This window comes from Homo sapiens, chromosome 16 (genome assembly GCF_000001405.40).
Source record: "Homo sapiens chromosome 16, GRCh38.p14 Primary Assembly".
Classification (NCBI taxonomy): Eukaryota; Metazoa; Chordata; class Mammalia; order Primates; family Hominidae; genus Homo; species Homo sapiens.
Window position 1 is genome coordinate 21135574 of NC_000016.10, and position 13622 is coordinate 21149195.

The 13622-nt window shown below is 45.4% G+C and overlaps 1 protein-coding gene across 14 annotated transcripts in view; it reads right to left on the reverse strand.

The window, feature by feature from the left end:
- Positions 1 to 13622, reverse strand: part of DNAH3 (dynein axonemal heavy chain 3) — a 226349-nt gene that overhangs the window by 202463 nt on the left and 10264 nt on the right. For 8 of the 14 annotated variants that reach the window (XM_011545883.1, XM_017023427.2, XM_017023426.2 and 5 more), the window contains exons 3-8: positions 11874 to 12049; positions 10411 to 10515; positions 9608 to 9833; positions 5727 to 5799; positions 4963 to 5137; positions 751 to 940 (exon numbers count right to left, since the gene is read on the reverse strand). In XM_011545883.1, coding sequence (XP_011544185.1) covers positions 751 to 940; positions 4963 to 5137; positions 5727 to 5799; positions 9608 to 9833; positions 10411 to 10515; positions 11874 to 11924 — 820 coding nt within the window. In that variant the 5' untranslated portion in view covers positions 11925 to 12049. The remainder of the gene's footprint in view (positions 1 to 750; positions 941 to 4962; positions 5138 to 5726; positions 5800 to 9607; positions 9834 to 10410; positions 10516 to 11873; positions 12050 to 13622) is intronic. The other 6 variants (XM_017023432.2, NM_017539.2, XM_047434349.1 and 3 more) reach the window with 1 other exon arrangement.

Here is a 13622-nt window from a genome sequence, read left to right on the forward strand (position 1 = left end):
TCCCAGCTACTCAGGAGGCTGAGGCAGGAGAATTGCGTGAACCCAGGGGTCCGCCCAGGTAGGTCTTGAAATCCTGACCAACCTCTGCAGTTGCAGTGAGCAGAGATCACACCACTGCACTTCAGCCTGGGCGACAGAGCAAGACTGTCTCAAAAAAGAAAAAAAAAAGAAGTGTAGAATCTCAGCCAGGTGTGATGGCTCATGTCTATAATCCCAGCACTTTGGGAGGCCGAGGCAGGAGGATCTCTTGAGTCCAGGATGTTCAAGACAAGCCTAGGCAACATAGGGAGACCTTGTCGCTAAAAAAAAAAAAAAAAAATTGTTTTAAACTTACAAATGTAGAATCTCAGGCCCCAGGTTCAGATCTACTGAATCGCAATCTGCATTTTAAGATCTGCAGGTTACAGGGATGCACGTGAATATGTGAAGTGCTGGTGTAGACATCAGTGATGGTAGGGGGATGCAGGACTTTGAATTAGCGGTTAAATGATGTTTTGGGTATTTCCAGTGGAATCAGGGTGGCAAATGACAAAGTGAGAAGAAAGAAGATGCCTTCCAGGCCAGGCATGGTGCCTCATGCCTGTAATCCTAGCACTTTGGGAGGCTAAGGAGGGAGGATTGCTTGAGCCCAGGAGTTCCAGACCAGCCTGAGCAACAAAGCAAGACCTTGTCTCTACAAAAATAAAAATAAAAAAGAAGGTGCCCTCTACATAGAAGCTCCCCAGCCCCCTTTATGCCCACCAGCCTTACCGATGCTTTTCATGAGGCTACAGTAATAGTCATTCTCCTTCTCCTGCACGAGGACCACCATCAGGGGCTCCAGGAAGGGACTCGTCAGCAGCGTGTTAGAAATCAGCTTTGAAATCCGAACCATCACTTCACCCTCCTCAGGGGCAATCATGTCTTTGCGAATTCCATTGGTCAGATAGTAATAGTATCTCTTCCATAAACAAACCACCAGCGAGAAAATGGTCATGATTGGATCATGGGTTCAACTGTCCTGCCCATCAGCTGCCAAGGGACCCCATTCATACAGCATTCGTCTGCACCCTTCACTTGCCATAACCATGCATTCTGGGCCTGTCGCTTCACACTCATGGCAAGAAGATCACTGGCAAATTTTCCCCAGGACTTCAGAGGATTCAACCAAAGCCAGAGAGATGTCAGTGGGGTATAAGGAAGGATTTGTCAAATACCACCCAGATAGGAACAGTGGAGTGAGTACAGAGTCCAGGGATGGAGGTGGCATATCTGGTGACCTTTAAGAAGAGGAATAACAGGCCAGGTGTGGTGGCTTACACCTGTAATCTCAGCATTTTGGGAGGCAAAGGTGGGAGAATTGCAAGGTCAGGGGTTCGAGACCAGCCTGGCCAATATGGTGAAACCCCATCTCTACTACAAAATACAAAAATTAGCCGGGCGTGGTGGCGCACACCTGTAGTCCCATCTGCTCAGGAGGCTGAGGCAGGAAAATTGCTGGAACCCAGGAGGTGGAGGTTGCAGTGAGCCAAGGTCATGCCACTGCACTCCAGCCTGGGTGACCAATCGAGACTCTGTCTCAAAAACAAACAAAAAAACATTAGATTTTCCTGATCCAGAGCTAGAATTTACCCCCCGGAAGCTTTCACTCACTGGTCCTGATTCTGCCTTCTAAGGTAGCTCAGACAAACAGGGTTGGATTTCTGTCTAAAAAAAAAAAAAAAAAAGTAAAGGAATGACAAGCTCCTAAAATGGCCTCGAATCACATACCCTCCTGAACAGCAATGATCTCCTACAAAACACTTTGATCCCATGGCTTCTAGCTGTCAGTGGGGAAAAATAACCCCAAAGTCCAAGATCTATTGTTGTTCTTTTTTTTTTTTTTTTGACACAGAATTTCACTTTTGTCGCTCAGGCTGGAGTGCAGTGGCACAATCTCAGCTCACTGCAACCTCTGCCTCCCGGGTTCAAGCAATTCTCCTGCCTCAGCCTCCCAAGTAGCTGGGATTACAGGTGTGCACCACCACAGCCAGCTAATTTTTGTATTTTTAGTGGAGACGGGGTTTCACCATGTTGGCCAGGCTGGTCTCAAACTCCTGACCTCAGGTGATCCACCCACCTTGGCCTCCCAAAGTGCTGGAATTATAGGCATGAGCCACCACACCCAGCTGATAGTTCTTCTTACCCAAGCAAGGGCTTTTGAGTTTCAAAAGCAACATAAACACACAAATGAAACAAAAATGGCCAGTGGAACCTAGTGACTTCAGGAAATTTTGTATATTTAGGGTTTGCCTCTGAGCTGCTGGATGGCTGAGTGGCTCTGGGAATGACTAATGTCAGATAGAGGAGAAGCACAGAGTGTGAGGAAAGGGCTTGAAGTCTGTTTTTAAGTTTCAGATCAGAAGAGGTTGCTGGCCAGGCACGGTGGCTCATGCCTGTAATCCCAGCACTTTGGGAGGCCAAGGCGGGTGGATCACCTGAAGTCAGGAGTTTGAGACCAGCCTGACCAACATGGTGAAACCCTATCTCTACTAAAAATACAAAAATCAGCCAGGTGGGGTGGTGCATACCTGTAATCCCAGCTACTCAGGAGGCTGAGACAGCAGAATTGCTTGAACCCAGGAGGTGGAGATTGCAGTGGGGCAAGATCACGCCACAGCATTCAAACCTGGGTGACAGAGCGAGATTCTGTCTCAAAAAAAAAAAAGAAAAGAAAAAGAGGTTGCTGCTGCCAGCCTCTTTGTTACTCTCGCCTCTCTCCAACGTTAGTAAAAGCAGCTGCTAACAGGGGAGTATTGCAAAGCTTTTCTGATTTTAAGAACTGCCTGGGTGCAGGGTGGGGGTAAAAAGTGCTTGTTAAAATGCAGATTCCCAGGCCCCTCCTCAGGCAGTTAGGGTGTTTACCAAGGACCCCAGGTGACCCTTATCTTCAGGCAAGTTTCAGAAATGCTGCACAGCTCTTAAGAACACAGAGACTGGCTGGGTGCGGTGGCTCACGCCATAATCCCAGCACTTTAGGAGGCTGAGGTGGGTGGATCATTCAAGGTCAGGAGTTCGAGACCAGCTTGACCTACATAGTGAAACCCCATCTCTACTAAAATACAAAAATTAGCTGGGCATGGTGGCAGTTGCCTGTAATCCCAGCTACTTGGGAGGCTGAGGCAGGAGAATCACTTGAACCCAGGAGGCAGAGGTTGCAGTGAGCCGAGATCGTGCCACTGCACTCTAGCCTGGGTAACAGAGCAAGACTCCCTCTAATAAAAAAAAAAAACAACACAGAGACTTTGGTATCAGCCAGACCGGCTTTCAGTCTTAGTTTTGTCTCCTACCCTGTAGCCCTAAGCACATTGCTTAAACAGTCTATACTCCACTTTCCGCAACTGGACAATAGAGATAATCATAGAACCTGGGTCTCAAGTGGGGTCAAGTAGCTATAGAGGGTTTAGCAGGGAATTTTGCCAACAGCACATAGTCACTGTGAGTTTTTATTAATCATTTTATTATACACCCTAAACCCACAAGACATTTGCTCTAAAGTTTTATTGTTCTTTTAAGACGGGTTGGAAACTCCAACATCTATCTAGAGCCAGGCAGGTAATGTTAATAAGTGAAAGTTGTCTAGACCTAAGAAAATAATAAGGAATGGTGGGAACTATGACAAACTGAAGAGTGTATTTCTCATCTAAAGGAGGTAGCTACTGCTTAGCACCAAATATTTTAGTTTTCTCAAGAGAAGTTGGAAAATGTAGCTTGAGACTTTCCTCATGCTTTTTTTTTTTTTTTTTTTTTTTTTTTTTTGAGATATGGTCTTGCTCTGTTGCCCAGGCTGGAGTGCAGTGGCATGATCATAGCTGGGATGCCTGAGGTGTCAGAGAAGGGGACCAAGGGATAGGTTGTCTTGTCCTAGAAAGGGTTGTGAATCCCTCCCCCTACCCTTTTTTTGAGACAAGGTCTCACTCTGCTGCCCAGACTGGAATGTAGTGGCACAATCATAGCTCACTGCAGCCTCAGCTTCCCAGGGACAAGTGATCCTCCCACCTCAGCCTCCCAAGTAGCTGGGACCACAGATGCATGGTACCATACCCAGCTAATTTTTGTAGAGATTGGGTTTCTCCATGTTACCCAGGCTGGTCTTGAGATCCTGGGCTCAAGTGATCCTCCCCATTCCTCCTCCTAAAGTGCTGGGATTACAGGCATGAGTCACCATGCCCAGCCACCTCATTCTTTTTTTTTTTTTTTTTTTTTGAGATAGAGCCTCGCTCTGTTGCCCATGCCGAAGTGCAGTGGCTCAATCTTGGCTCACTGCAACCTCCACCTCCCAGGTTCAAGTGATTCTCCTGCCTCAGCCTCCCGAGTAGCTGAAATTACAGGCGCCTGCCACCATGCCTGGCTAATTTTGTTTTTGTATTTTTAGTAGAGACGGGGTTTCAGCATGTTGACCAGGCTGGTTTTGAACTCCTGACCTCAAGTGATCCACCTGCCTCGGCCTCCCAAAGTGCTGGGATTACAGGTGTGAGCCACCATGCCCAGCCACCTCATTCTTAAAACACATCTACAGGCCAAATTCAGCCTATGATAGAGATCCCATATAAAATATGGGATGCTTTGGGATATACTTATACTAAAAAGTTATTCATTACCTAAAATTTGAATTTAACTATGTGTCCCATTTTTTGTCTTGCAAAATCTGGCACCCCCAGCCTATGGGCCACTATTTTTGCAACTTATATTCTAAAAGGACTCAAGGTATCAATTTCCATCACTTACTAGGGCAGAGAACATGTACACACACTCTCTCTCCTTCTCTCTCACTCGCACAAGCACACAAACATGCGCCCTCTTCAGTAGCCTGTCTTGGGTCTAGACTTTGGTGTTTTTCAAACATTTCCCAGGTGATTCTGCTGTTCTCCCTGAATTTAGAATCACTGAGATGCCGAGAGTAACCCTCAGCAAACCGAGGGAAAGGGGGCAACAGGAACGTACCTCCAGGTCCGATTCAGATGGCTTCTTTTCTTTACTTTCCATTTCCATCTCCTGCTGTAACATGACATCGAGCTGCTGTTCTGGACTCATTGGTCTGCTTCCTGGGAACGTCAAAGATGTCTTTACCTCCTTCTTCATGGGTGAGAAGATTGACGTCTTGAAGGCCAACTTGATCCTGAAAAGTAGACACAGCTCAGCCCTTGGTGTTTGGTTCTCCAGAGAGGTGCTGTGGTGTTGCCTACTTTCCCTAGCCTGATGAGTGTGGTTCTGCAAATAGAAGCCTCTCTCCTCTGTGTCATCTAATGGCATGTGTGTATACTTCCAAGATGACCCTAATGACTGAACACCTCATAGGTATTTTAGCATGGTTTTGTTCAGTTGGTTTATTTTTGTCTACAATCTCAAAAAGCCTGGCCAACATGGTGAAACCACGTCTCTACTAAAAATACAAAAATCAGCCAGGCCTGGTGGCATGCACCTGAAATCCCAGCTACTCAGGAGGCTAAGGAAGGAGAGTCGCTTGAACCCGGGAGGCAGATGTTGCAGCAAGCTGAGATCATGCCACTGCACTCCAGCCCGGGCAACAGAGCAAGACTCCATCTCAAAAAAAAAAATTTTTTTTTTGATTAAAGTGATTCGTGGATAAGAATATGATTATCTGGGAATGCTTTGAAGCCAAGAAGCAGAGTGTGGCTTTAGTGAGACCACATCCTTCTGTTCAGCCCACCGTCCTGCCTTCTCTGGTGCCCACAGTGATATCTTACCTAGTGGAATCCTCTTTGTTTCTGGAGGAAAACTTCGTTTTTTTCCTCATGGGCTCTGATGAGCTTCTATTTCCTGGAAGAATGGAGAAGAAAGACATCAGTGATGGGCAATGGCCTTGGGCCATTCTCCGTCCACAGGGGCATGACTCTCGGAACAGTCCAGGAGCACACTAAGGGGAGCGGACATGGTACGGTGTGACGTGGCAGGAGATGTGGGCTCAGGTCTCATGTGCATCACTGATTACCTGTGTGACCCTGAAGAACTGGCTTCATCACTCCGGACCTCAGCTTCCTCAACTGTAAAGTGGGGATGTGCGTATCTTCCATTCGTTCATACATTTGGCAAGAATTAATAACTGCTTGTTTCATGTACTCTCCAATATTGTATGCTCTATTTTCTAAACACCTGTTATATTACTGTTTAATATTTCTCTTTAAGTAGACCTGGGCATTTAAACTTAGTACATTTGGCCAGGCACGGTGGCTCATGCCTGTAATCCCAGTACTTTGGGAGGCTAAGGCAGGCAGATCACCTGAGGTCAGGAGTTCACGACCAGCCTGGCCAACATGGCGAAACCCCATCTCTACTGAAAAATACAAAAATTAGCCGGGCATTGCGGCGAGCGCCTGTAGACCCAGCTACTTGGGAGGCTGAGGCAGGGAGAATTGCTTGAACCCAGGAGGTGGAGGTTGCAGTGAGCCGAGATCGTGCCACTGCACTCCATACTGGGCGACAGAGTGAGACTCCGTCTCAAAAATAAATAAATAAAATAAAAAATAAAATAGGCCGGACACGGTGGCTCATGCCTGTAATCCCAGCACTTTGGGAGGCCGAGACAGGCAGATCACGAGGTCAGGAGTTGGAGACCAGCCTGACCAACATGGTGAAATCCCCCATCTCTACTAAAAATACAAAAATTAGCCAGGCATGGTGGCACACGCCTGTAATCCCAGCTACTCAGGAGGCTGAGGCAGAAGAATCGCTTGAACCCTGGGGACGGAGGTTGCAGTGAGCCAAGATAGCACCATTGCACTCCAGCCTGGGCAATGAGAGCGAAACTCCGTCTCAAAAAATATACATACATACATACATGCATACATACATACATAAATAAAATAAACTTAGTACATTTATTTTTAAAAGAAATTTTATGATTATCACAAATAAAAAATAAGTACATATTTATTGCAAGTAGAAAAACCAATATCATTTGCAATAAATAGAAGGTAGCTACAATTAATTCAATAAGTGATATAAAAACTATATTATTCAACTTTAATTAGATATTACTTCCTAAAGTGTCTATCTTTGAACTTCTCAAAATAGTCCACATATAACAACAATACAAAAATCCTTTTTTTTTTTTTTTTTGAGACAGGGTCTCACTCTGCTGCCTGTGCTGGAGTGCAGTGGCATGATTTCAGCTCACTGCAACCTCAACCACCCAGGCTCAGGTGATCCTCCCACCTCAGTCTCCTGAGTAGCTAGGAGTACAGGCGCATGCCACCACACCTGGCTAATTTTCCTATCTTTTGTAGAGACGGGGTTTTGTCATGTTACCCAGGCTGGTCTCCAACTCCTGGGGGCAAGCAACCCTCTCAATAAACACAACAATCAAGGTACAGATTCACAAAATGGAAATAATACAGCAATAACAATATTGCTCCAAAATAAATTTTTAAGATCCTCCAAGTACAAATGTATTTTAATGAATAATAAGCAGAAATCATCTCAAGCAAGGACATGAATAACAGACACCAGTGCCGCTCTGAAGAAAGCATCTTAGTACTTTATATTCAAAGACTCTGGCTTGCCTGAGAATTTTGGGGACAATGAAACCTGGGAAGCAATAGCACTAGTTCTTCACAGATATTAATAATTTTGGACTAAGAAAATTATTAAAGACTGCTACAGACTGAAAGCTAATGTCTTGTCAAAATTAGTATGTTGAACCTTAATCCCCAGCATGATGGTATTTGGAGGTGGGACTCTTGGGAGGTGACTAGGTCATGAGGGCTCCATCTTATGAATGAGATTGTGCCTTTATAAAAAAAACAGCAAAAAGATTTCTCACCCCTTCTCCCATGTGAGCATGCAGCAAGAAGATAGAGAAGACAGATGTCTATGAATCAGGAAGAGGACCTTCATCATAGACTGAATCTGTTGGTACCTTGATCTCGGACTTTACAGACTCCAGAACCACAAGATATGAATTTCTGTAGTTTATAAGCCACTCAGTTTATGATTCTTTGTTATAGCAGCCCAAAAGGAACTAAGATGATGACCATGAAATTACCAATTAGAGCAGCAAACTTAAGGTTCTGTGTATCATGATCTTGAACATTTGGGCATTAATTATTTGCTACATGTCCTTAAAGCAGGAACATGCAAAAGCAGCATCCTAGAGACTGTGGGTGTGTATGTAATACACAAATAACACTGGTAAGAACCACTTGGGAAAAAGAAATCCTCCAAGTGATATTGAAAGGGCTATGACAATAAGAATGGAATCAGGAGTTGGAAAAGGGAGGTAGAAAACCATAAGTAATCAGAAAATTTGAAATGGAAAGATAGTCATTTAAACAAAAAACACTCATTAGACATGAAAAACTCAAGACTGAACAGAGTTGAAGAGAAAATTAGTAAATTGGAAGATGTAATTAAGAAACTCACCCAGACGTAGCACAGAGAAAACAATGAAAAATATAAAAATGAGTTTGAGACAGAGAGCAGATCAAGAGTGCCAACATACATCCAACAAAAATTACTAAAGGATATCCTTATGCCAATATACCTATGCTTGGTGGGAATTAAATTAATACATACAAGGTGCTGTGGTAAGCAGCTTCCAAGACAGCCCCCAATGATCCCCATCTCCTGGTAACACCCCTTTGTGGTGTAATCCTCTCCCCTTGAGTATGGGCTAGAACTAGTGACTCCTAACAAATAGAATGTGGCAAAAGTGACAAGATGTCACTTCCAAGATTAAGTTCCAAAAAAGCCTATGGGTTCTCTCTTGCTGGCTCTCTCTCTTTCTCTCCCCCTCCCTCGCTCTAAGGGAAGCCAGAAGCCATGTTGTGAGTTGTTCTAAGGGAGAGACCCGTGTGGCAAGAAACTGGTGTCTATGGCCAACAGCCAGCAAGGACCTGATGACATGAGTGAGCCTGGAAGAGGATCCTTCCCTAGTTGCCTTTAGATGATGGTGGCCTTGGTGTATGCCTTGATTGTACGCTAGTGAGGGGCCCTGAGCCAGCACTACAAATTCAGCCATGCCCACGTTCCTGCCCCACTGAAATTGTAAGATAACAAATACTGGTTCTTTTAAGCCACAGAATTTTGGAATAACTTATCATGCAAACAATAACACAAGTACATAGAACAGTGCCTGGTATATGTAAATGGTCTATAAATGTTAGCCGTTTGCAATCATTTCCTCCATAGATAAGGAGGAGAGTGAGGCTTTGCAAAGTCTCCAAAGTTAGCTTCAGCAAAAGGGGAGCCAGGATCAGAATCCAGGAGTAAAAATTTCACTCCAGGCCAGGCACAGTGGCTCATGCCTGTAATCCCAGCACTTTCGGAGGTTGAGGCAGGTGGATCACCTGAGGTCAGGAGTTTGAGACCAGCCTGGCCAACATAGTGAAACCCCATCTCTACTAAAAATACAAAAAAAAATAGCCAGGTGTGGCCTGTAGTCCCAGCTACTCAGGAGGCTGAGGCAGGAGAATCACTTGAATCCGGGAGGCGGAGGTTGCAATGAGCCACGATCGTGCCATGGCACTCCAGCCTGGGCGACAGAGTGAGACTCCATCTAAAATAAATAAATAAATAAAAATTTCCTCCAAAGCCCCATTCTGCAAGGGTGTGACACTGCCACAAGTACCTGATGATGGCAGCCCCTGACCGGTCCTGTCCCTAGGGACACTGATGGTGGCCGGTTGGTAGACCTTCAGCAGATCTTTCAGCTTCAGGTCCTGGGCCATCAAGGAGTAGTTGTTGGCGATGGAATCACTGGGTCCACGGTGGTGATGCTGTTCTTTGAAGGGTGCAGCCAAGGTCCATGACGTGCGTTGCATCAAGGGCGGGTAAAAGCTGTGTGACATGACAGTCTACGAGGTAAGAAGTGCAGAGTGAGACACAATGAGGAACATCTCTCGATGAGCCTGAGCTCTGCTCACACTGAGGCTCACAAGAGTTCCAAGTGCCTTATGCTATGTTTCTGCCTTCTGCACATTCAGTGGAAAGATTGTCTGAACAGACACCAACTGTACTTCTCTGACCATTGTAAGCATGAATTCTGATGTCAGGGATAATAGCTTGCATTCACCAGTAATTTTGAGGCAGGTAATTGACATCTCTGGTCTTTATTCCTTATGGACATGACTACAAGGTACAAGCAATTACCCTCATTTTACAATGAAACACGCAGAAGTTCAGAGAGTTTAAATAACACAGCAGATCAGTGGACGGCCAGATTCTAATTCACCTTTGGACAATGGCATAGCTCTCTCTCCCACACTTCTGCAGCCTCTTCTGGGGGCAAAAGCGACCAAAGCTACTAATCCTACTTGTCAGGTCTGTTTGACTCTCCACCCTCATTGAGTACCTGCCAAATACGGAGAGAAGTGGGGGATGCACTTCACCTCCTCACCCTCAACAGAAGAGCTGGCAGCCAGGTGTGCATACCTGATAGAGTCCAGACGGTTCCTCATTAGCAGAAGCAGGCAGAGGAGGCAGCTCTGGCTGCCCCTGGGAGTGGCTCATGTGATGTATGGAGTCACTTTTGGCGATCTGTGGGACATGGGAACAAAGTCACCCTTCAAAAATTAGGGAAGATTTGCAAGCCTCTGAGTTGGTTAGGACTAAAGAGGTCCCCAGGAAAAGTTTTAGGTCCAGAGTTCTGGACCTAAAACAAAACACTCCTCTCATTCCCATCCATTATGTATGTTTCATTTATTTAAAAATTAACAGATAAGGGCTGGGTGCGGTAGCTCACCCCGGTAATCCCACCAGTTTGAGAGGCCAGGGAGGGTGGATCACCTGAGGTCAGGAGTTCGAGACCAGCCTGACCAATATGGTGAAACCCTGTCTCTACTAAAAATACAAAAATTAGCCAGGCATGGTGGCGTGTGCCTGTAGTCTCAGCTACTTGGGAGGCTGAGACAGGAGAGTTGCTTGAACCTGGGACGCGGAGGTTGCGGTGAGCTGAGATTGCACTCTGAGATGTATTGAAGTGTATATACATTATAGAGTGACTAAATCTAATTATCATATGCGTTACCTTGCATGGTTATTATCTTTGCAGTGAGAACACATCTACTCTCATAGCGTTGTTCAAGAATACAATATATTGTTAATTAGTCATCATGCTGTACAACAGATCTCTTGAACTTATTCCATCTAACTGAAATTTTATATCCTATGACCATCTCCCCAACCCTTCCACTCCTGTTTCTTTTTTCTTTCTTTCTTTTTTTTTTTGAGATGGAGTCTTGCTCTGTCACCCAGGCTGGAGTGCAGTGGCTCTATCTCAGCTCAATGCAACCTCTGCCTCCGGGGGTCAAGTGATTCTCCTCCCTCAGCCTCCCAAGTAGCTGGGATTACAGGTGACTGCCACCATGCCCAGCTAATTTTATATTTTTAGTAGAGACGGGGTTTCATCATGTTGGCCAGGCTGGTCTTGAACTCCTGGCCTCAAGTGATCTGCCCTCCTCGGCCTCCCAAAGTTCTGGGATTACAGGCATGAGCCACCACGCCCGGCCCCTGCTTCATTTTTTAATCATTCAGTGTCTCCTCCTCGGATTCCCTTCTATGAGCAAATTTGAATATTTTTCCCCCGTGGAAGAGCCCAAATTCTGAGGACATCCCCAGTACCCTACCCTCAGGTATGATTAAAGGAGGTGACTTTAAAAACATTGACTCTTGCATTTTTTTTTTTTTGAGATAGTCTCTCACTCTGTCACCCAGGCTAGAGTGCAATGGTACGATCTTAGCTCACTGCAACTGCTGCTTCCCAGGTTCAAGCAATCCTCCTGCCTCAGCCTCCCAAGAAGCTGGATGGGTGCCCACCACCATGCCTGGCTAATTTTCATATTTTTAGTAGAGACGGGGTTTCACCACATTGGTCAGGCTGGTCTTGAACTCCTGACCTCAGGTGATCCACCTGCTTCGACCTTCCAAAGTGCTCGGATTACAGGCATAAGCCACTCCACCAGGTGGACTCTTGCATTTTCACATGTGCAAAATTCCAAAGAGAAATTCACTCAGGCAGTGGCACTGAATTTTCTGTGTATTTAACACACACATAAGCAACTCTTTATGATTCCTGCGAAAAGAAAAAGTGTTATTTCAACAATGTGGGTGTTGAGTACTCCATTCCAACCAGTGAGTGCATACTGTGGAGTGAGCCTCAGGTAAGGGTCAACTTGTGGCTCCCACAATCACTCTCAGATTCCAAGTGACCCTCCACCTCTCCTGAGCAGAGAAGAAAGTGACTACATTATTGAATGAAATCACATGTGTTTTTGTCTTAAGACTTAGCCCCTATATGCAAAACAACCACTTCACCTGGGACTAGTGATGGAGAAACTGCAACTTGTTCCAACACTAGAAGAAAAGCTGTTGGCCTGGACTTATTGAGAGGTGCTGCCGTTCAGCACTTTAAAGGTGGTTTGAGGGATTTTCAAGGGCAATTTTGACTCTCTGTGATTTTCACCTTAGGCATTGACTTTGGACTTAACTCCTATATAAGATGAGCCAACATCGTATCAGTGTGATTTATTTGGGTGTGCAAATTATGACATGCAAGATCACTGATGAGGGTGGGATGGGGCAGGGGGCATATGACTATTAGCTGTCCCTCTGCCCCCAACCCCTTAAAGATGACTCAAATTAACCATCATTATCTCTCCCGGAGCACCTACCTCATTAAATAACAACAGAAAAACAACAACCGCAGCAATACTATCTACCATTATTCCAAACGATTATGTGCCAGGTACTGTACAACCTCATGAGATTTTTTTCATACCCGCATTCTAGCTGAAGAAAATGAGGGTGAGAAGATAGGTAACACATCCTAGCCATGTAATTGGCCGGCTTGACTTCTAAGTCAGTGACTTATTTATTATTATTATTATTATTTATTTTTTTTTTTTGAGTCCAAGTTTTCGCTCTGTCGCCCAGGCTGGAGTGCAGTGACACAATCTTGGCTCACTACAACTGCAACCTCCACCCCCTAGGTTCGAGCGATTCTCCTGCCTCAGCTTCCTTACTGCATCATGCAAACTGACAGGGACGCTGTTCTCGGGATAATGAAGAAAGCAAACCGTGAGCATTTTGCAGAACACAATGGAAAGAGGGAGAACCTCTGTAGAAACAAATTAAACTAGGCTATGTCATAGGCTTGGACTAAAACAAATACACAAACAGTCATAAGTACGCTGATAGCAGAAAGCATCCCAGTCTGTCGATCAGGAACACATGGGGCACACACAACATGAGCAGATCTAGGCATCAATTGCAGAATGGGGCTAAAAGAGTTTTCCTGGCAATAAATGGCTAAGAATCCTCTGTGGCACCTTCAAGAGATCGAGATTCTCATAAGAACTAGCTGGTTGTGCAAAATTGTTTGTTAAAAATATGAATGCTTGGCCAGCCGTGGTAGCTAATGTCTATAATCCCAGCACTTTGGGAGGCCGAGGCGGGTGGATCACTTGAGGCCAGGAGTTCGAGACCAGCCTGGCCAACATGGAGAAATCCCGTCTCTACTAAAAATACAAAAATTAGCCAGGCGGTGGCGCACACCTGTAGTTCCAGCTACTCAGGAGACTGAGGCAGGAGAATCGCTTGAACCCAGAAAGCAGACGCTTCAGTGAGTGAAGATCACGCCACTGCAC